This window comes from Homo sapiens, chromosome 15, assembly GCF_000001405.40.
Source record: "Homo sapiens chromosome 15, GRCh38.p14 Primary Assembly".
NCBI classification, from domain to species: domain Eukaryota; kingdom Metazoa; phylum Chordata; class Mammalia; order Primates; family Hominidae; genus Homo; species Homo sapiens.
In genome coordinates, this window is record NC_000015.10 from 72582941 (window position 1) to 72605111 (window position 22171).

Below are 22171 nucleotides of genomic sequence, written 5' to 3' on the forward strand. Positions count from 1 at the left end.
TCTAAGGTCCATCAGAACTTGTAACACTTTATTGCTTTAAAATTAATTCCCATGGAATCATGGCTTTCAGAAAATACCATTTTAATATTAGAAGCAGTTTGATGTGTCTGTACATCTAGACCTGAACATGTGCCTATTAAAATAAAAAATAGGTGCTTGGTTCCGAGTCTGGATAAACTATAGGGATGCCTTAAAAATAAGTAAATGCCTCTTTTTTTATTATTAGAGGCTGACAACAAGTTTTTTTTTTTTTCTCTTTGATTACAGATACTGTGAGAGTCGACGAAGGGTTTTGTTACAGCATGTGCATGAAGGCTATGAAAAAGATCTGTGGGAGTACATTGAGGACTGAGAATGGCCCTGCATAAAATGAACTCTGAAAACTTTACCATCTAGAGTGCTCATGCAATTAAAACAAAACAAACACAAACAAGGAGGCACTAAGCCTATTCTGACACCACTGGTCTGTAGTACCAGAATTGTTTTGTTAATGGAAAGTTTAAGTAAATTATATTGTAATAAAAAGGTAGATAAACCATTGTACAACAGTATTCTAGGCCACCAACAAAAGTGTGACAGACACACTAAAAGCCCTCCAACTTTAACTTGTAACGTAGCTTCATTCTCAAAGCTGACTCCTTTTTTTTCTTTTTCCTTTTCCTGAGTGTAGTACAGTTAAAATTTCAAACAGCTCCTTGACACTGCTTTTCATGTTCAAACCAGCCATTTTGTTGTACTTTGGTAAAGGACCTCTTCCCCTTCCTCCCCTACACATACAGATACACCCACACACAGACTGACTCTCTTTCTCTCATACCCCAAGGTCATGAGTGAATGATGCTTAGTTCCTTGTAAAGAAAATCTTGGGATGGGGAAAGGGGTAGGCAGCAAGAGGATTCAACAAACGAAAAACATAAAAACTTTGTATATGACTTTTAAAACAAGAGGACAACACAGTATTTTTCAAAATTGTATATAGCGCATATGCATGGACAAAGCAAGCGTGGCACGTGTTTGCATAATGTTTAATTACAAAAAAATATTTATTCTTTAAAAATCTTCAAGATTATGTCTATTTGCTGTGCATTTTCTTTCAGTTTGCTTATCTTTCCCGGGTTGGGGTTGGGATAAAGGTGTGTCGGTTTAGCACCTCTGGAAGACCTATCTAGAGCTCTTTCACTTTCCTGAGGTTATTTTGCCCTTTCTGGTGTTGGTATGTCTGTTGCCGGCCATGGGCCTCATGCCTTGAATTCCTGCTCTTGATCAGGGACAAGGGAGGTCAAGCTCTGACTAATGCCATGACCTGATTAAGGGGTACAGCAGGGAGTTTTGTTGCTACAGCTCATGAATTAACCTGTCCCAACCTAATCCCCCTCCATGGCATCATGCCTCTACCCAAGCCTTTGTGTGCCCATGTTATGCACACAGCTGTAGGCATTCTTAAGTCCCCTGTCGCATCCAGTGGAAGCATTTTAAAATTTCTTTTACTTTTTGGTTTTCCCTTAATTGCTGCTTTTCAGATTTTAGTTATGGCTCGTCTGCTCACCCCTTCTCTACATTAGGGTGTCAAAGAGAATGTTTTGCTTTAAATATAAATAGCCATTCATTTAGTCTCAGATTGTGAATTTAAAATGGTGGATACCGAAATTGCTTGTGTGTGTTGCTGTGGGTTTGGTTTGAAGGCAAACACCCCTAGAACATGATATTCCCATCTAGTGCATTTAAATAGAAATCACTGAGTTTGCTGCTTTTTTATTGTCAGCAGATAGGAGAATTAATAATGCATTTTAGCTGTGATGTCCATTTTTATGAAATTCCTACTAAGAGCTATGTTAAAAGTAAAGGATGGTGGTGGTTGTATTAACTATATACCTGTTTAGGCCATTCTGGCTGTGGTATTTTTCAATAGGTCAGCATCTGTAAATCTGTCAGTTTTATACAGGAGTGCAGAGTGAACTAGGCAACTAGATTAAGAGGTCTAAATATGAAATACCAGTTGAGGCTGAGGACCTCTTCGTCTTCCTTTAAATGTCTTTTGCCTAGGGAGTGTTTACCATTTGTGAGGCAGCTTTGTCTGCTCTTACACTGTACATCCTATTACTCCATTGGGAAGTAGGTTCACTTTCCTCTGGCCTTTTGCCTAAGTTAGGCTTTGCTGAATCAACCCTACTTTTCCTTTTAGAAAAGGTTGTTACAGGAGATTTACTGGCAACTGTTCTTTTCCCATCAAAAATCAGTGAATGTTTGCTGAGTATAAATGCTGCTTCCTTAAACCACTTGTCGCTTTAGGATCAACTTTACCTGTACCTTTTCTCCTTTCCTCCCTTGCCACCTCAGGTGCAAATCTGAACTCAGTGTCTGCTTCTTCCATTTTCTCGTCTCTCTCCCCTCTTCCCCCATTATCCATATGACATTATTTTACTTCAAATGACAGCATCAATCTTAAAAAGATATACATTAAAACTAAGGAGTTTTTTTAAAGAAAGCCTGAATAAGTTCCTTTCCCTGGTAACTTTGAAAAGCAGTCAGAGTTGCTATATAGATATATGTGGCTCCTTTAAAATGCTTTGTGTATGTGTGGTGTTTAAAAAAAAAAAATCTTACCAGTTAACTTTGCAGTGTCTAGGTTTGAGTGTCATAAATCCACGTGTTCCTGTTGCAACAAATACCCAAAAATTGTGTGTGCACTTCCTAATACCAGTCTTCACCCATGGAGGAACAGTGCTTTTTAGAGATGCTTTCTATTTCAATGTTGGCATACTGCCTGAGGGTATTGCAGTTGTGGGTGCATTCCCTAATTTGTATGATCAAGATGAACTGGCCCTTTTCTACTTCCAAGCTTTTAACAGATACCACCATATTTGACAGAATTCCCAGAGTGAATTGCTTGTGTTATTAGTAGATTCAGTGCCCCCAGCTGGGATAGGCAAGCCATGACAGCTTCCCTGTTTCACCTACAGAAGTCTTATCTGAGGGATCTATTCACAGTAAGCACCAAGGTCTCCATGTCTTGAGGTCAGTTTCATTGTCTTTTGAAAAGTGCATGCTTCATTTGAACAATTCATTCAGCAGCAGATGGACTTTCAGTGATTTAAAATAAAATTTTGATCCAAAGCTCAGGACACAAACCACAGTGGTAAAATTGAGTAGCATATAATATCAGACTAAATTATCTGTAATTTTCCACAACCCAGATTGTATGTGTTTTATGTGTGTTTAAATAAATATGTTAGATACACGTGTATACATACACCCATATACAACAGATCCAAGACTGGCTGACTTCATTTGAAATGGTTGAATCTGCTGTGTAATAAAGTGGTTCAACCATGATTAGGAACTGAAATTTAGTAGAAGAGGGAAAAGGAGTTAATGTAACAAATTATTTTAGCTACAAACCCCGGTAATAGAGCACTTGGGGGATGGGATGGGGTGGGTTGGTGAGACAATCAGAATGGTAAATTGATTAAATGCTCCTAACCCTGTAATTTTGTGCATAGAGCACCCTATGCTGTGGAAATAACTGTTCTTAGATTTCATTGTAACTGGACTGTTCAGGTTGCCCAGAGGGAAAGAACATTCCTAATTCTAATAAAATAAACTTTTATTTTGTTATTCCATTAGTTACTTATGTTTATTTTTATAGTTAAAAAATGACTAAAGGTGGCTAATAGCCACCCGTATTATGTGCCTTATTCACTGTTCCCACTTAATATAAAATGTCAAAAATTGGTTGTTTCTTTGCAGGGAACTGTGAATGAGCCCATTCCCCCAACATTTAACTTGGTTAATGAAGCTTTCAGAGCATTTTCTGAAAGATTTCCAATTTCTGCATCTCAGATATTGAATTTAAATTGTTTGTGTTGTAACAGTGATACAAAAATGTTCAATAGCTCTTTGAATGCCACTTTTTTTAAAGAAAATACTTTAAAAGTCATTCTTAGCTAACCTCAAAACTCCTTTACATTACTTTCATTTTAGCTCACTCTTAAAGCTGATACTGTTATATAGGGATGAAGGGAGAGTTTTCTTAAAGAAGGTCCCAAAGTTGAAGATCGTTTGTCATTGATACTCTGGCCAAGTCCAGGTTTTAGGACAATTTAATTTACTCTTATTTGGATCTGTAATTATGGGAGTTTATCACTTTTCCTCTTCAAAGCACTTCAACTTACTGTCTAAAACAAGTGGAGAAGAAATTGCCATTTTTTATAAAGGAGGAAGATAAGGCTCACTGAGGTTAAATAACTCCCTCAATTTTTCATTTCCTTCTACCTGAAACTTAACATCATGCTACCTCTTTGTATCATATTTTGTTATTCTGGTCACAGAATGACCTAGTATTCTGTACCAGGGAAGGTAGTTCTTAACTATATTGTACTTTTAAACCACATTAAAGACTATTATAAATGCCTATCACTGCTACTGTTAGAGGTTGCTCTATACTATCTCTGATCTTTCATTTGTTGCAGTTTGCAACACAGTAGTTGAGAATAAGTGGTTTAGTATGATTTGCTTAATAGTACCCAAGTAATTTGCAGTTGTTGGTTTAGTTATTCAAATGAATTTCCATTGTAAAGAATTTTGGATAGTCTGCAGGAAATTGTTACAGGATGCACAGAACATCCCATATCCATTGGATCTCAGCCTTTGAGGCTTTAAAAAGATGATAAGCAGTGAGTTTTATGAGAAAATTTTGGCTCCTTCAGAAACAGGAAGATAAGTGGGCCCCTCAGATTTTTCATATATCTTTGGGGATAAAGTTGGTTATATCTGGTTTATTTTAGGGATTTTGCTTCTGTAGTTACCCAAGATCAAATAGCCAACTCAGAAATACTCAGTTGGATATCAATCAAATAGTGCCTACCAGGGGAGTAAACAGACAACTTTTAGGTTTTTAGTTTTTGCTTTTGTGTGGAGTTGAGTCCAATTTTTAAGGCAACTATTGTTGACCTTTCTCTAGGCGGTAGCATTTAGGATGGGAAAAAATAATATGAGTTATGTGCGAAAAGCAGTTTTCAGGCTATCATTTAGGGCCACAGATATGCTTATTTAGGACTATTTTCAGGGTAGGAGCCAGTTAAAGTTTGTATATCAGTCACACATTGATATGTAGCAGCTCTATCAATACCACAACAACCTTATTACCATAGTAATTCAGGGGTCTCAAGTAATCCAGGAGTCTCAAACTGAAATGTCAACAAGAGCCAAGTAAATATTTTAGAAATAGAGTACCCTGGAGTAGATGGGCTCTGAGAGGAGCCTGTGAAATCCAGACTTCATGTGAATTCTCTTAATTAAATGTGGGCCAAAGAAAACCCGGCCATGGGCAGTTTTTTTTTCCCAGCTTCTACTAGTCTTGGCTTGCAACAATGCCACTGTCCATCTGGCATTACCTAGACCAGTGATACTTAAACTTGACTGCGAATTGGAATCACTGAGAAGCTTTAAAAAATATTAGTGCCTGAGTGTTACTTTATGGAGATTATGATTTAATTGCTTTGGGTAGGCATCAGTAATTTTTGTAAAGCCCTTTACGCATTCTCACCCCTAATTCCAGCCGGTGATTCTCACATGCAGACTAGGTTGAGATCCTTGATCTAGACTGCCTTCTATAGTTGCAAAAAGAGAATATAGGCGAGCAACTCCAGATCATAAGGGACAAAATGATTCAAGGCAAATTGACTGGCTCAGAATAGGGCCTCACTGGAGGCCCTAGTTGAGTGGGTTTTGTGGAATGGTGCCTCCCAAGGGTCTGGTGTGCAGTGCCCAATTTGGTTTTTTGTTGGTTTTCTGGTAAGTGGTCCACCTTGGAGAAAATCACAAAACTAAAAGTCTTACCAAGAAGTAGAACTGACAAGCAGCCATGTTGATTGGCAGTACATTCTCTTACCAAGGGGGAGAAATCTATCTAGGGAAAATAATACAGAGTCTGAGCAAAGGAAGTTGAGTGGTTATAAGCAAAACTGTCATTAAAGCTAGTTGCGTCAAGTCTGCACAATTCCACGAGCACTTAAGAGTTTACAAGTTTCTCATGTCTATCATTCTTTTGATAATCTTGTATTTTTATTTCAAGTGTGGTATAGTAGTAAGAATATTGGTATTTCTCAGCCATAGATTTCCCTTTTGTAAAATGGGAATACTAATAGGAACTGTAATTTGTTGAGTGCTTTTTGCCAGATGCCTTACTTTTGTCTGTATCTTCCAAGCAGCCCTAAAGCAAAATGGGCATTGTTACCCTATTTTTATGAGGAAAGACACTCATATACTACTAACTTACTCAAAAGTTACACATTGAGTGTATAACAGGGCCATGCTTGTCTGATTCCATATGTTCATTCTATTATGCTGCTGTTGTCTGTTACATAGGAATATTGTGAGGATCAAAGAACATGTGAAAACAAAACCTAGTTACAATAATAAGCACACCAGTGCTAACTTGGGCAAAAGATAAGGATACAGAGCTGTCTCAGAGACTCCCAAAGGCAGGATGAGATTGGGAACTAGAAAACCATTTTGGACCCCTAAAGTGGTATTGTCTACTATCTGTACATCATTCTCTTACAGCTCTTACTGCTGCTTTTCCTGTCAGTTACCCCATAGCTCCAGGTATTACATGTTAACTGTTCCTGACACATGTAGACAGAACCAATCAGATCCATGGGGCAGGATCATCAATACAAACATGGGTGTTGAGAGCTTAACTTAATCGGGAAGGAGATCTTGGAGATCATAGTTCGCTGGGTTCACATCATGGAAATCGTCTTTGACAAAACTGAAATGCCCTGAAGTTTTAATTTTTTAAATACATGTAATGAATTGGTATATGGTAGATACTCGTGGCTACTTAGTATTTACCAAATGCTTTGTTTCCATCTCGTTTATTTTTATTTTTTATTTTTTTAAGAGACAGTCTTGCTATGTTGCCCAGGCTGGACTTGAACTCCTAGTCTCAGCCAACCCCTTCTGCCTCAGCCTCCTGAGTAGCTGGGATCATAGGCATGTGCCACTGCTCCTAGCTCTTCCATCTCAGTCTTATGATGTAGTTACTATTTTCATTTTATAAATAAGAAAATAGAAGCTCAAATAAAATGGGTAGTTTCCTTGAGGTCATCCTGTTAGTAAGTGGTGGAATGAAGTTACAAACCTAGGTTTTATTGGTCAGCACACACAGTGCCGGGCACTGGCAGTACAGCAGTGAACAAAAGGTCTGTTGGTTTGTCTGAAGCTCTCAACCTTGATTCTGCATAGACTCGGTGGATTGCCCAAGGCCACTCAACCAGTTAATATCAGAGCCAGCTCTGCTGTTTGACCAGTATATTATTTTCACCATGCTGTATCTGCTTCTCAGTCACCAAAAGCACCAGCTAAAATTGTATATAGACTGATTAGGGGACTTCCAACCTAAGATTGTCCTGGAAACTTAATTCTTATCTTGGCTCATCTCTTCAAAACAGATGCCTCTTTCGTTGGTGACCTCAGATACACTGTTCAGAAGTACTCAAAGTATTCCTTTTTTCTCACATTTGAGAGTCACTCTAGCATTTTAATGAGTTAAGCAAGCCAGCCCTGCATTTCCAAACCCTTCCCAGAAGTCTAACCTTACTTTGATCTGATGACATGGGCTTTTTAAAAGATTACTATTTTTTTAGAGGTGGGGTCTCACTATGTTGCCCAGGCTGGAATATAATGGCTATTCACAGGCACAGTTAGGGTGCACTACTGCCGTGAACTCCAGGACTCAAGCCATCTTCCTGCCACAGCCTCCTGAGTAACCTAGGACTATAGGTGCATGCCACCATGCCCAGCTGACAATGGCTTTATATACATAATATTTCCTCAGCAACAATTTATGTCTTATTTGGCACCTGTAAAACCCTCTTCACTGATTATGCCTGTTTAAAGGTTTGGTATTTACTCCAAGTCACCTGCCTTTAGCCATGGAGTATTCAAGTTTCTTTCAGAATGAGAATTTGGAGGGTGCTCATAGAAATATAAAACAAGGCTGGGCATGGCGGCTTACACCTTGTAATCCCAGCACTTTAGGAGGCTGAGGCAGGTGGATCACGAGGTCGGGAGTTCGAGACCAGCCTGGCCAACACAGTGAAACCTCATCTCTACTAAAAATACAAAAATTAGCCAGGCATGGTGGTGCATGCCTGTAATTCCAGCTGCTCGGAAGGCTGAGGCAGGAGAATCGCTTGAACGCGGGAGGTGGAGTTTGCAGTGAGCCAGGATCACACCACTGCACTCCAGCCTGGGCGACAGAGAGACTCTGTCTCAAAAAAAAAAAAAAAAAAAAAAAAGAAGAAGAAGAAGAAATACAAAACCAACTCTTTATAGTAGACAGTTTATCCCCCAGAAAGCTTTTTAGGCTGAAAACGTTTCTATAGATTTTGGATTTCCTTCTGATAGCTAAAATTTGTTTCTGTATAACAGAGTAGTGCCCTATAAGCCAGTTCAGTGCACATTAAATGGCTGTTCTTAGAATTATGAATCTGAGGCTTATGCAGTGAGGCTCTAGCTCTCTGGAGTCAGTTGGTCAAGTGGGATTCCTGAGGACTGAGCAAACACACACAGAGCAGGATTTTGTCCTAAGTTTTCTTAGGGATCCTATCCAAAAACACCATTACTTGAATTTCCCAGCTTCCTTTTACAGGGAGACTTCCTTGCTATGTGTACTCCCACCTCGGTATGTCAAATCATTTTCTCAGAGGAAGTACAGCATAAAATAATAACCAGCATTTGTAGAGCACTTCTTGTGGGCCTTCTTGGGCAAATAGACATTCTCATGGAATGCTCTAAAATTGTTAAGTTCTTGCACTTGCTCTCAAGTCATTTATAATCTAATTGCTGGTCTTCCTGGTATGAACAAAGATGTTTGCTTGTTAATAAATTCCTACCACATACCCAGACTTGTGGTTTATTTCTATCTAACTAGGGAAAGCACTAAAGAGTTTTCCAATAAGGAAGAATGATCTGAGTGTCTACCTGCTTTGGAAAAGATGTCTGCCATGGATAGGAAATGATTTTGTATCCCAAAATCCTAGTACTAATTTGGAGTGTTGTAAAGGTCAGGGCAGCAAATGCTAGAGAGTGGGATTAATGAAAAGTTATAGTGTTCTGCATGCCTTTGAATAATTAATTTTTACTCCATTTTTACTCGCTTGCAATAAAGTAGGTTAAGTGCTGTACTTTAAGGAAGTCCATGTACAAGCCAGTGCCTTAACAATGGTCAAATGGTTGCTCACTAACCAATGGAAATAAATGACTGTTGTTTCCACAAAATTGCTTTACAGATTCTAAATGCTATCTCTGGGACACTGGATTGTGTGCTCTTTAAGATAAATTCCATAATCAAGGGCCTGGCCCTGAATAGATTGGAGCCCAAAAATCTCACTGAAGCAAAGAGATAATAGGCCAGTAAAGAGTGGGAGACAAACACTCCTGGAATAGGAAGCCACTACTCACCTTTATTTTAAATTGATATATAGAAATTAATATTACAAAATGCACACATCTTAAGTGTGAAGTTTGATGTTTTGACAGTTGTATACGTCTGTGTAATAACTACCAAAAGAAGACATAATATGTTACAATTAACCCAGAAAATTCTCAAGTACTTTTAAATCACCCCTGAGCACCTCCCCACTCCAGTGATCACTTCTTGATTTTTATCACTAAAGATTTGTTGTACCTGCTTTTGGATTACATATAAGTGGAATCATATAATAATGTACTCTTTTGCATCTGGCTTCTTTCACTGATAATGCTTTAAAGACACGCATACTGTATGTATTAGGACATTGTTCTTTATTGCTGAGTAGTATTTCATTCTATAAATATACCACAATTTGTTTATTCATTCTCCTATTGAAGGACCTTTAGGTTGTTTCCAGTTTGGGGCAATTATGAATAAGGATGCTATCGATATTCTTACACAGCCTTTTGTTTTTGTTTTTTGTGGATATACATCTTCACTTGTCTTGGATAAATAAGAGTAGAAAATTACTGGGTCATATGGTAAGTGCATGTTTATAAGAAACTGCCCTCTTATTCTCCAAAGTGGTTTTACCATTTTGTACTCCTATCAGTGATGTATGAGAGTTACAGTTGCTTCACATGTCTGTCAACATTTACACTGTCACTGTTTTTTATATTAGCCATTTTAGCATATATGAAATAACTGATTTTAATTTACATTACATTTCCCTGATTAATGAGTTGAGCACTTTTTCATATGCTTATTTTTCATTTGTATATCTTTCAAGAAGTGTCTTTCATGTCTTTTCTCATTTTAAAGTTGGGTGTCTTTTTATTGTAGGTGTTATTCTTTGTATTTTGAATATAAATCCTTTGATAGATATGCTATGATTTTTTAAAGACTCTATGTATTCACTTATTGGGATCTTTCGATGAACAAATTTTTTTTATAAAATCCACTTTATCAGTTTTTTATTTTATGGTTTTATGACCTCAAAGTCACAAAGAATATATTTTCTTCTAGAAGTTTTATGGTTTGGGATTTTATGTTTAGGTCTGTGATCCATCTCAAATTAATTTTTGTGAACAGAATGAGGTTTGGTTTTTTTCCAACATGGATATACAGTTGTTCCAGCAACATTTACTTAAAAAGACTTTTCTTTACCCATTAGATTGACTTGGTAGCTTGGTTAAAAATTGATCACGTGTGTGTGTATTTCTACATTTTCTGTTCTGTTCCATTAATCTATTTGTGTATCCTTACATCAGTACCACACTTTGGATTATTGAAACTTTCTAGTAAGTCTTTAAATTAGTAAATCCTTCCTTTTTGTTATTTTTCAAGATCGCTTTGGTTATTGTCGATTCTTTGGATTGTCATAAAAGTTTTACAATTAGCTCATCTTGTTTTTCAAACGTAGATGTGCTGGGTTAGCTGTGTTCATGCCACTGCATTCCAGCTTGGGTGACAGCAAGACCCTGTCAAAAAAAAAAAAGAAAAGAAAAAACTGCTAGAATCTTGATATGGGGTTTTGTTGAGTCTATAGGTCAATTTAGAATGAACATTTTAATAGTATTGAGTCAGCTAATTCATGAACATATTAAGTCTTGTCATTTATTTAGGTATTAAATTTTTTTCTCAGCAATGTTTTGTAGCTTCCCTTGCGTAACACTTGCTTATCTTACATTAGACTTTTTCTTAAGCATTTGATTTTTAAAATATTTTTGATTTTCTTTTCTTTTTCTTTTTTTCTTTTTTTTTTTTTGAGACGGAGTTTTGCTCTTGTTGGCTAGGCTGGAGTGCAGTGGCGCGATCTTGGCTCACTGCAACCTCCGCCTCCCGGGTTCAAGCAATTCTCCTGCCTCAGCCTTTTGAGTAGCTGGGATTATAGGCACACACCATCATGCCTGGCTAATTTTTGTATTTTTAGTACAGACGGGGTTTCACCATGTTGGTCAGCCTGGTCTCGAGCTCCTGACCTCGTGATCCAACCACCTTGGCCTCCCAAAGTGCTGCCATTACAGGCGTGAGCCACCGCGCCTGGCTAATTTTCATTTTTAAGTTGTTTGCTGCTAGTATCTAGAAATACAATTGATTTTTTGTTTGTTTCTTTAGAGATGGGTCTCACTATGTTGCCCAGGTTGGTCTTAAACTCCTGAGCTCAAGGGATTCTCATGCCTCAGCCACCCAAGTAGCTGGGACTTTATTCACGTGCCAGTGTGCCTGGCTGATTTTTGTATGCTGATCTTGAATCGTGCCACCTTGCTAAATTCATTTATTCTAGAAATAGTTCTTGTAGACTCCGTAGAGTTTTATATTAAATAGATACACAACAGTGTAGTCTGCAAATAATGTTTTTACTTCTTTTTCTGATTTTATGCCTTTTCTTCTTTTTTTTTTTTTTTTTTTTTTTTTTTGTCTTTCTCCACTGGCTACAATATCTAGTGCAATGTTTAACGTGTGGTGAGAGCAGACACCTTGCCTTGTTTTCTTAATCTTAGGGATAAAGATTTTAATGTTTCATCACTAAGTATAATGTTAACTGTAAGTTTTTCACAGACCAGCCCAAAGAAGTTCCTTTCTATTCCTAATTTGTTGATAATTTTTATTAGGAAGGGTTATTAAATTTTGTGAGATGCGTTTTTAGCTTTTAATAAGATTATTATGTATTTCTCTTTTTATTTTGTTAAGATGGTATGTTACAGGGGTTGGCAAACTGTGGCCCATGGGCCAGATCCAGCCCATGGACAGTTTTGTTGTTGCTGTTTTAGAGACAGTCTCACTCTTTTGCTCAGGCTGCCAGGCTGGAGTGCAATGACATGATCATAGCTCACTGCAGCCTTGAGCTCCTGGACTCAAGCGACCCTCCTGCCTCAGCCTCCTGAGTAGCTAGGAATACAGGTGCATGTCACCACACCAGGCAAATTTAAGAAATTTTTTGTAGATCTTGCCGTGTTGCCCATGATGGTCTCAAACTCCTGGCCTCAAGCAATCCTCCTGCCTTGGCCTCCTACAGTGCTGGGATTAGAGGTGTGAGCCACCACACTTGGCTCTCATGGACTGTTTTTGTTTTTGTTTTGAGACAGGGTCTCTGTCACGCAGGCTGGAGTGTGGTGGCATGAACGTGGCTCACTGCAGCCTCAACTTTCTTGGCTCCAGCAATCATCCTGCCTCAGCCTCCCGAGTAGCTGGGACCACAGGTGTGCGCTACCACAGCTGGCTAATTTTTCTTTTTCATTTTTGTAGACATGGAGTCTTGATATGTTGCCCAGATTGATCTGGAACTGCTAGGCTCAAGTGATCTTCCTGCCTTGCACTCCCGAAGTGTTGGCATTACAGGCATGAGACACAGTGCCCAGCCTATTGCAGTGTTTTTTGTTTTTTCTGTTTTTTTTTTTTTTTTTTCATCTTTGTTTTTGTTTTTTTGAGACTGAGTCTTGCTCTATCTCCCAGGCTGTGGTGCAGTGGTGCAATCTGCAACCTCCGCCTCCCAGGTTTAAGCGATTCTCCTGCCTCAGCCTCCCAAGTAAGTGGGATTATAGGCACATGTCACCAAGCTCAGCTAACTTTTATATTTTTAGTAGAAACGGGGTTTCACCATATTGGCCAGGCTGGTCTTGAACTCCTGGCCTCAGGTGATCTGCCCACCTTGGCCTCCCAAAGTGCTGGGATTACAGGTCACTAGGCGTAGTAGGGCTACTACGCCTGGCCCTACTGCAGTTTTTAATAAGAGATGAGTTCTCTCAGCTTTTGTCTATAAGAGAATGTCCTTACTTTTATTTTTGAGGGGTATTTTAGTTGGATATAGGACTCTATGTTGACCTTTTATTTCTTCTTTCAGTACTTTAAAGAAGTTATTTTATTGTACTCAGGCCTCATTTGTTTCTGGTGAGAAGTCATTCATCATTTTAATTTTTATTTCCTTTCCGTAATGTGTGGTTGTTCTCAATGGCTGCATCTGTGCATTATATTTACTTTTCAGTAGATTGACTAGGGAATGTCTAGGTATGTTTTTCTTTGTATAGAGTTTACTGAACTTCTTGGATCTGTGTTGATGTCTTTCATTAATATTGGTTCTTTCTTGGCCGTTATCCGTTTACATTTTTCTCTTGTCTCATACTCTCTTGCTTCTCCTCTTCTTTGGAGATTCTAGTTACATGTATATTAGATGATTTGATATAAACCTACAGATCTCAGATGATTTTTCCCCTGCCCTGTTTTCTTTTTGTTTTCAGTTTGGATACTTTCCATTTAACCATCTTTAAGTTTTTTGATGCTTTCCAATGTTAACCTGTTAAACTTGTTTATTGAATTCTCCATTTAAAAATTTTTATTTTTAGTTATTTATGGATACATAGTTGTACTGAATTATTCATTTCTAATATTTTTATTTCTAGCATTTCATTATATTTGTATAGTTACAATTTTCTGCTGAAATTTCCTATTTCTTCATGCATGTTTTCCACATTTTCCATTCTACTTTTTAGCATTTTAATCAGTTATTTTATTGGGTTTTTTCTGTTTTTTCTTTCATTTTTAATCAGTTATTTTAAGGATCCAAACTGATAATTCAACATCTGGGTCTTTTCTAGTTCTGCTTCTATTGAGCCCTTCCTCTCCCTTACCATGAATCTTATTTTCTTGCTTTTGCACGTCTTGTATATTTGATTGGATGATGGACGTTTTATGTTGAAAAAAAAAAGAAATTGAAGAAAATGTTTACTTCCAAAACAGAGCATGCCCTTTGTTTTTTTTTCAGGCCACTTGAATGGTGGCTCAATCTGATGTATATGAATTCTAGACTGGGGCTTCACTGCAGTTTTAGTTTGATTCAGTTTGCCTCTAGCTTCAAATATTTGAAGGAACGTAGAATCAGAACTCTCATATCACCAGGGCCTGAGTTTTGGGCATTGGCAAGATTCCAGAGATCTGACTTTGCTTCATAGCTAAGCCACCAGCTTTTATCAATGTGGGAGATCTTTCCCTACTTTACAACCTTGCTGCCAGGATTTTTTTTTTTAATCAATGGGCTGGGGATAGGAGGATCTTTCTCAGCTCTCATGTGTGCCCTGCCCTTTTGTAGAGGAATGCCCACAATGCCTAGGGGATGGGTTTCTCAGCATTTCTGACCCCATTTAGGCTCCAAGAGTGCCTCTGTTGGATTTCACAACAATCCTGCCTCCCCTTTCATTTTTAAAGGGTATTTTGCCCTTGGGAGAAGTCAAGCTCTCTCAGCGTTCCTTCTATTATCCACACCTTTAGTGTACTACACCTTCCTGTACCTGGTTATCATCTAAGGGGTAAGATTGGTGGGAAGCCTTCCTCTGTGGATTTGGGTCATCTAGGTTCTAATGTCAAACCAGCCTCCAAGGGGTTGTGAAAATGTTGTTAAATTTCAGCAGGTTTCTCTTTTCTCCCCCCTGTAGTATTCCTCTTCCTACCATAGTTCAACTAGGAATAACAACAGCTAGGGGGTCTCTTCTCTCCTATGAAGGACTTGGCACTTTCTGGAGTTTGGATCATTTAGGTTTCTTTGGTTTTTGTTTTTATTTTGAGACAGGGTCTCACTCTTACCCAGCCTGGAGTACAGCCTGTAGTGATCTCAGCTCACTACAACCTCTGCCTTCCTGGCTCAGTTGATCCTCCCACCTCAGCCTCCTGAGCAGCTGGGACTACAGGCGTGTACCACCACACCCGGCTAATTTTTGTATTTTTTGTTGAGATAGGGTTTTACCATGTTGCCCAGGCTGATCTCAAACTTCTGAGCTCAAGCGATCTGCCTGCCTCAGCACCCCAAAGTCCTGGGGTTACAGGCATAAACCACTGCACCCAACCTAGATTTCTTTGTGTCCTTAGCTTTCTGATGAATTAAACATATGTTTTATTTTCTAGCTCATCTGGCCTTTTGTTGTTGTTTGCTAGAGTGGGAGGTATATTCCTTGTGACTTTGTTCATATCACTAGTGAATTTCAGAAGTAGGAGTTTATTTTTTTAATAAAAAATTTTTTTAGGTCAGGCACAGTGTCTCATGCCTGTAATCCCAGCACTTTGGGAGGCCGAGGCAGGTGGATCACCTGAGATCAGGAGTTTGAGACCAGCCTGGCCAACATAGTGAAACCCCAACTCTACTAAAAATACTAAAATTAGCCAGGTGTGGTGGTGGGCGCCTGTAATCCCAGCTACTTGAGAGACTGAGTCAGGAGATTTGCTTGAACCTGGGAGGCGGAGGTTGCAGTGAGCCGAGATTGTGCCACTGCACTCCAGCCTGGGTGACAGAGCAAGACTCCCTCTCAAAAAAAAAAAAAAAAATTTTTTTTTAAACACGTCTCACTGCCACCCAGGCTTGAGTGCCATGACATGATCATAGCTCACTGCTGGCTTGACCTTCTGGGCTCAAGTGATCCTCTTGCCTCAGCCTCTTGAGTAGCTGGGACCACAGTCATGTGCCACCATGCCTGGCTTTTTTTTTTTTGTAGAGTTTGGGTCTCGCTATGTTGCCTGTGATCCTCCCACCTTGGTTTTCCAAAGTGCTGGGATTAAAGGCATGAGCCACCATGCCTGGTTAGGAATGGGAGTTTAAACAATGGTTTTATTTACATATTTCATTAGCTAGTATTTTTTTCTTTTTTGAGACAGAGTCTGGCTCTGTTGCCCAGGCTGGAGTGCAGTGGCACGATCTAGGCTCATTGCAACCTCTGCCTCGTGATTCTCGTGACTCAGCCTCCTGAGTAGCTGGGATTACAGGCGCCCGCCACCACACCCAGCTAATTTTTGTATTTTTAGTAGAGACAGGGTTTCACCATGTTGGCCAGGTTGGTCTCCAACTCCTGACCTCAGTTGATCCACCCGCCTCAGCCTCCCAAAGTGCTGGGATTACAGGTGTGAGCCATCGCTCCTGGCCTCATTAACTGTTTTCAAAAGTAAAAGTACATGGATAATACAAAGTTAAATTTTGTAGAATCATAAAGAAAAGCAACACCTTCCCATCTTAACTCCCCTAGTGCCTCTACTCCCTCCACAGAGACAAATATCTTACCAGTTGGTTGTGTTTTCTTTTCCAAACTGTATTTCTAAAATGTGTCAATATCTCTTCCTTTTATTTTTTATTTTTTGTAGAGACAGGGGTCTCACTGTGCTGCCTAGGCTGGTCTCAAACTCCTGGCCTCCTACCTCGACTTCTCATAGTTCTGGCGTGAGCTACTGCACCTGGCCTCCCCCTTATTATTTTTTTAAACATGAATGGAAGCATACTATATTTTCTACACTTTATTTGTTTTATGTAACTATTTTAACAACCTGAGGACTTTTACAGGCTGCATAATATGTCTTAATATGGATGTATCTTAGTTTATTTAAACAGTTACTGGTGATGGACATTTCCATGTTTCCAGTATTTTTTCTCACAAACAATGCAGTATTATGCCTTTGTCCACATTCACCATTGATTGCTATTGAGTATATCTGTAGCATCAAGAATAGGCATACTGAAAATCCTCCATGAAGTCCAGTGAAGCTTCATATTATTTTGAAGTGATATTTCCCAGTGTTGGCTGGACTCTCAAGCGTTTGTGGTATAGGTTTTGGGAGGACTGGACACTTCCAAAGAGAAATAAGATGTTACAGACTTGTCCAGCAGGTGGCATCAGAACAAAGCTGGCTATGGACCTTGTCAGTACAAATGATAAAACATTAAAAATGTAAAAACTCAACTGTAGCTCCTTGTTTATACATATATTGGGGGTGTTGAAAAGTTACCGATGCCTGATTCCTCTTCTATGTCCTCAGCCCCCACCATAAAAATAGATAAATGCCATTTTTTTTGTATGCCCAGCACAGCTATATGATTTGAATAATCTTGATAAGCAGGGTCACATTTGAGGAGATTTGCTAAGGGAAATGAAGATCCATCTGTGACACAAGAAACATGTTCTATGTGATTTCTGGGATTTTCCTGTGAACATACTTCTTGTTTGTTTGTTTTACAGTGGATCTCACTCTGTCACCCAGGCTGGAGTTCAGTGGTGCAATCATAGCTCACTGCAACCTTGAGCTCCTGGGCTCAGGAGAGCCTCTCTCCTCAGTCTCCCAAGTAGCTAGGACTACAGACACATGCCATCATGCCAGGCTCATTTTAAAATTTTTTGTAGAGACGGGTCTCACTATGTTGCTCAGGCTGGTATTGAACTCCTGGGCTCAAGCAATCCTCCTGCCTCAGCATCTCAAAGTGTTGGGATTACAGGTGTGAACCATAGTATCCAACCTATTATGTTTTTTTAAAAAGAGATTGTTCTAATTATGTATATAATTAAAGTACATTAGGTTTAGTGATTGCAATTTGAGAAACCAATGTCCTTTCTTATTGAAAAAGGCCCTGGTACAGAAAGTGTTCTATCTTCCTCACAAGATCTGAGGTCAAAGGAGAGATTTTGAAACATTATAGCAATGGCTTCTAGTTATTGAATAAAGAATGTCATTTGCTCCTCACAGGACCCCTTTCAGGGAGATTTCACATATTGGGAAACAGCCTCATGAGCTTTCTACAAACATCTTTGTCCTTAAGTCTTCCCATTTCAGTAATTGGCTGTACCACTCATCCAGCAGCTTTCAAAGTAAGAAACCTGGCAATCTTCCTTTAACATCCATTTCCCTTTCCCTCATTCCCCCATATCCAATCATGTGTATTGGAGGTTTTTCCACCTCTAAACTTGAGAACCCATTTACTTTTTCTCCATCTCCTTTGCCATCACACTAGTCCAAGTGAAGTGTTTCATCATCTCATTTGCAGCATCCTTTAGTTTACCCTAGATTATCAATTTTTGTCCCCCTCCCAATTCAGTCTCTACTCATGAGCTAACATGAGTTTATTAAGTGTTCATTCTGACCATGCCATTCCTTGCTCAAAATTCTCTAGTGCCTTCCCAATGCCCTTAAAATAAAATTCCTCATATGGCCTTTGTGGATCTGCACTCCTACCTCTTCTCCTATTGCAACCAACCCTGTTACCTTTTTCTCTTTTCACACTGGTCTTCATTCTGTGCTGCAAACTGGCTGAGATTCTTCCATCCTCAGGGCCTTTGCACAAGTTCTTCCTTTGCCTTAGAATTCTTTCCTGGCCTGCACATGTCTTCATCCCCTTTCCCTAAGCTAATGCCTTACCCTTTAGGTCTCATTTTAAACATCTCTTACCCAGGAAAAATTTCCCTGTCCAAACAAGTCTAGATTGGCTCCCCATTGTTTGTTCTAACTGTTCTATATTTCTCCTTCTTAGCATTTATCACAATTCTTGGTATGTTGTGCTTTTCACTTTCTTAGTCGCTATTATTGGAGTAGGTAATACATCCATATAGTACAAAATTCAAAATGTATTAAAGGTATAGAGTAAAAAGTCTTCTCTTCCCTGTCCCCCCGCTACCCAGTTCTCCTCTTTAGAACCACTTTTAGCATTTTGAATATCCTTCCAGAAATATTTTCTAAGTATACAAGCAATTATGTATATAATATTCCTCTTTATTTTTGCCTTTTTATTAATACAGATACTATATGCATTTTCTGCACTTTATCTGTTAATAATATATCTTGGCAATTATTCAATATTAATATGTAAATAGTTGCCTCTTTCTTTTTCATGCGCCATATAATATGGACTTATAATTTATTTAACCTCTATCTAGGTTGGTTTTAGGCATTGGTTATTACAAATAATGCTGCATTGAATACCTTTGTATGTAAAGTCATTTCCCACATCTATGCCTATAGAATAAATTACTAGAATTGAAATAATTCAGTTAAAGATTATGTGCATTTTTAATTTTGGTAGTTATTGCCAAACTGCTCTCAATGGAAGTTTTATGAATTCCCACTAGTGAATGCATTTGTCCTCACAATTATGTCAGTGAAATTTTTGTTCTTTGCCAATGCAAGAAATGGAAAGTATCTCTTGGAAACTAATTTGCATGTTTTTTTTCCTTGCACAGTTATATTTTCATATGTTAAAGAGCCATTTGTATTTCTTGGTGAATTGTTCATAAACTTTGCTTACTTATTATCTAATGTCTGACTAATTTGCTACACTCTAAATTCCCAATTCATACTTAAGTCTCGCCCTTGCAATTTAGATGTACAATCTGCCTCTTCAGTGGTTTCCACACCAAAAAATCCACAGGCTCCTGAATTTTATATGGGCCTAAGAGTCTTACTGAAAATTGGAAGTCTTAAGGTGTAGTCTATTTTATGCAGTGTGAGGCCTTTCATGCTCTGAAATGTACCACTCTTGACTGACTTTTTCTTCTTCACCCTGTCCGGCACTGTGCCCTTATTAGCCAGAGAAATGTTCCCCCTTTCTCCCAGGAAACGTTCTGACCTTACCCTGGTCCCTCAAGGACTCTCCTTCTCCCCCAAATTAACTTTCAAGGAGTTTCTCCAACCCAAAATGGCACCCTTCCTGAAAAGATTTCTAGTGGATACTGTTTTCTGTACCTCACTACGGATGTATTTTGCTGCTTGGCTCCCCGTCTCCATTTTGCTATGGCAAACATTTTTTTCCAGAAATATATCAGATAAAATGAACATGTGGTCCCTTTTGTTGATTTTTGTTGGGATCCATGGTATTGATTTCTTCTAGTTTAGATAATTCCACCGTGGCAAGCTTTTATTCCTAGCATAGCGCTCATGAGGAGAATGTTAGTCACTTGGTGTTATTAATGCTAAAATAGTAAACAAGAACACAAAATTTGCTAGATTAGAAGTGGATTTTTTTTCCAGGCTGGGCACAGTGGCTCATGCCTGTAATCCCAGCAGTTTGGGAGGCTGAGGCAGGCAGATTGCTTTGAGCTCACGAATTCGAGACCAGCCTGGGCAACATGGAGAAACCCCGTCTGTACTGGGGCTAATTTTACCAAAAAAACTAGCCAGGTGTGGTGGCACACACCTGTGGTCCCAGCTACTGGGGAGGCTGAGGTGGAAGGATGGCTTGAGCCTGGGAGGCAGAGGTTGCAGTGAGCCTAGTTAGTGCCATTGCACTCCAGCCTGGGTGACATGTCTCAAAAAAAAAAAAAAAAAAAAAAGGTAAGGAATGAATTAACATGAATGAAAAAGGCATGATCTGCAGTCAGTCACCCATGGTCAAAGATAGCAGATACCAATTCATTCTCAGAGCGAAACGAAATCAGCCCAATGCTTTTGGCAAACTGTGGTTGCCTCCCTGTCATCATCATCTGGGCTCACTGTGGCTCGCCCTTCTGGCCTTGCTTCTGACCTTGCCATCTCTGGGGAGGCTTCTTTGCAAGCCCAAGCTTGGGCTCCCCTTCTCAGAACCATGTGCATACTTGTCCTGGAACTGTTTTTTTTTTTTTTTTTTTTTTTTTTTTTTTTTTTTTGCCTGTGCCTCTTGGAGGGCAGGGGCCATCTGGCACAAACCTGCATCCCCGCAGTTGCTAAATTAATGAACAAACAAATACCAAGTCTTTCACAATGTAACTTGAGAGTGGAGGTAGTGGTAGTGGCAACTCCATCTGGGGGATGAGAGAAGGTGGAGGCTGAGTTTTGGGGATGGCTTGCAACAGAAGAGGAGAGATTATTAGCAGCTAAAGGAGTGGCCAGGGTGAACACCAAGCATTTTCCTGACTGGGGAGCTGTGGGTTTGTTTATGGCTGGGTAAGGGGTGAAACCAGTGAGCAGGAGAGATAGCTAGTACTGGACTGGAGTGAAAGGCATCTGTAGAGGCAGGAGACAGGATGGGGAGGTAGAGGAGTTGGCCTAGGACAGGACAGCACTTATTTGAAGACTGGTGGGCAGGAGGAAAGGAAGGAGAGGGATTGAGAAATGACCTGGAGGTCCTCAGTCAGCTGGGAGAAGACCTGGAAGAGGGGGATTGGCTGCTGTTGGGATGGAGAGGAGGGCCAGGGGAGGCAGTGACTCACACGGAGGGAGGCTCGGGGATGGGGACTTTGGCAGTGGGGGGTGGGAAAGACATACTCGCAGGGGATCGGAAGGCCCCGTGGCAACTTTGTGTAAGTCCTGGTTCAGTCAAGGAGAGGAATCCGAGGGAAATGCCTGATTGGACCCATGGCCCACTCTGAGAGAAAGGGGTACTGTGGGTGTGCAGGAGGAAGAGCAGCTGGGAAGTAGGAGTGCCTAGGACTGGATCCAACTGGAAAGGGGGCAGATATGCTCCCAGGATCAGGGTAGGGACCCTCTAGGAAGGGGGCGTTCTGAGAGGGAGGTTGTGGGGAGCACTGTATGGGGGTCCTTGGAGGTGATTTCTGGGAAGGGGAAGTCTGGGGCAGGGCTGTGAGGAGTCAGGAAAGAAACTGTGGAGTCCGTTCCTCACCCACCTCCTGAGCCCTGGGGTCTGAGGCCCCCAGGAAAGAGGGTTCAGTGGCACAGGAGGGTCCAGGGCAGGAGAGAGAAAGCAGCCTCTCAGGTCTTCTTGGAAAGGAACTCTGACCACCAGTGTGAATAGTCTTGCAGAAAGCTAAGCGGACACCAAGTGAAAGCTGGCCCCTCCCCTCTCCCAGAGTGGGAGGGGCCAGCGGTTGCATGGGCAGCTTTCCTTGTGATGCCACAGTCCTCTGGACACACTGCTGCCTTGCCACACCTCCTTTCCCTTTCATCTTTCTCATCAACCAATGGGCTTGGCAGCATTGAGGCCATGCCCCTATTCTGTGTTCTAGTGTGGCCCTGGTTATCCCT

General features: G+C 40.0%; 1 protein-coding gene, 1 non-coding gene and 1 pseudogene across 2 annotated transcripts in view; 2 read left to right on the plus strand and 1 right to left on the minus strand.

Moving 5' to 3' along the window:
* Positions 1 to 20047, plus strand: part of ARIH1 (ariadne RBR E3 ubiquitin protein ligase 1) — a 128658-nt gene extending 108611 nt beyond the window's left edge. Inside the window, exon 14 of the mRNA NM_005744.5 lies at positions 268 to 20047. Within this exon, the coding sequence (NP_005735.2) occupies positions 268 to 352 (85 nt within the window). The 3' untranslated portion in view covers positions 353 to 20047. The remainder of the gene's footprint in view (positions 1 to 267) is intronic.
* Positions 4277 to 4373, plus strand: MIR630 (microRNA 630). The gene has a single exon (NR_030359.1). It is a non-coding gene; the product is annotated as a microRNA 630 (primary transcript).
* On the minus strand, positions 21413 to 22052 carry LOC100420930 (SWI5 recombination repair homolog (yeast) pseudogene; annotated as a pseudogene).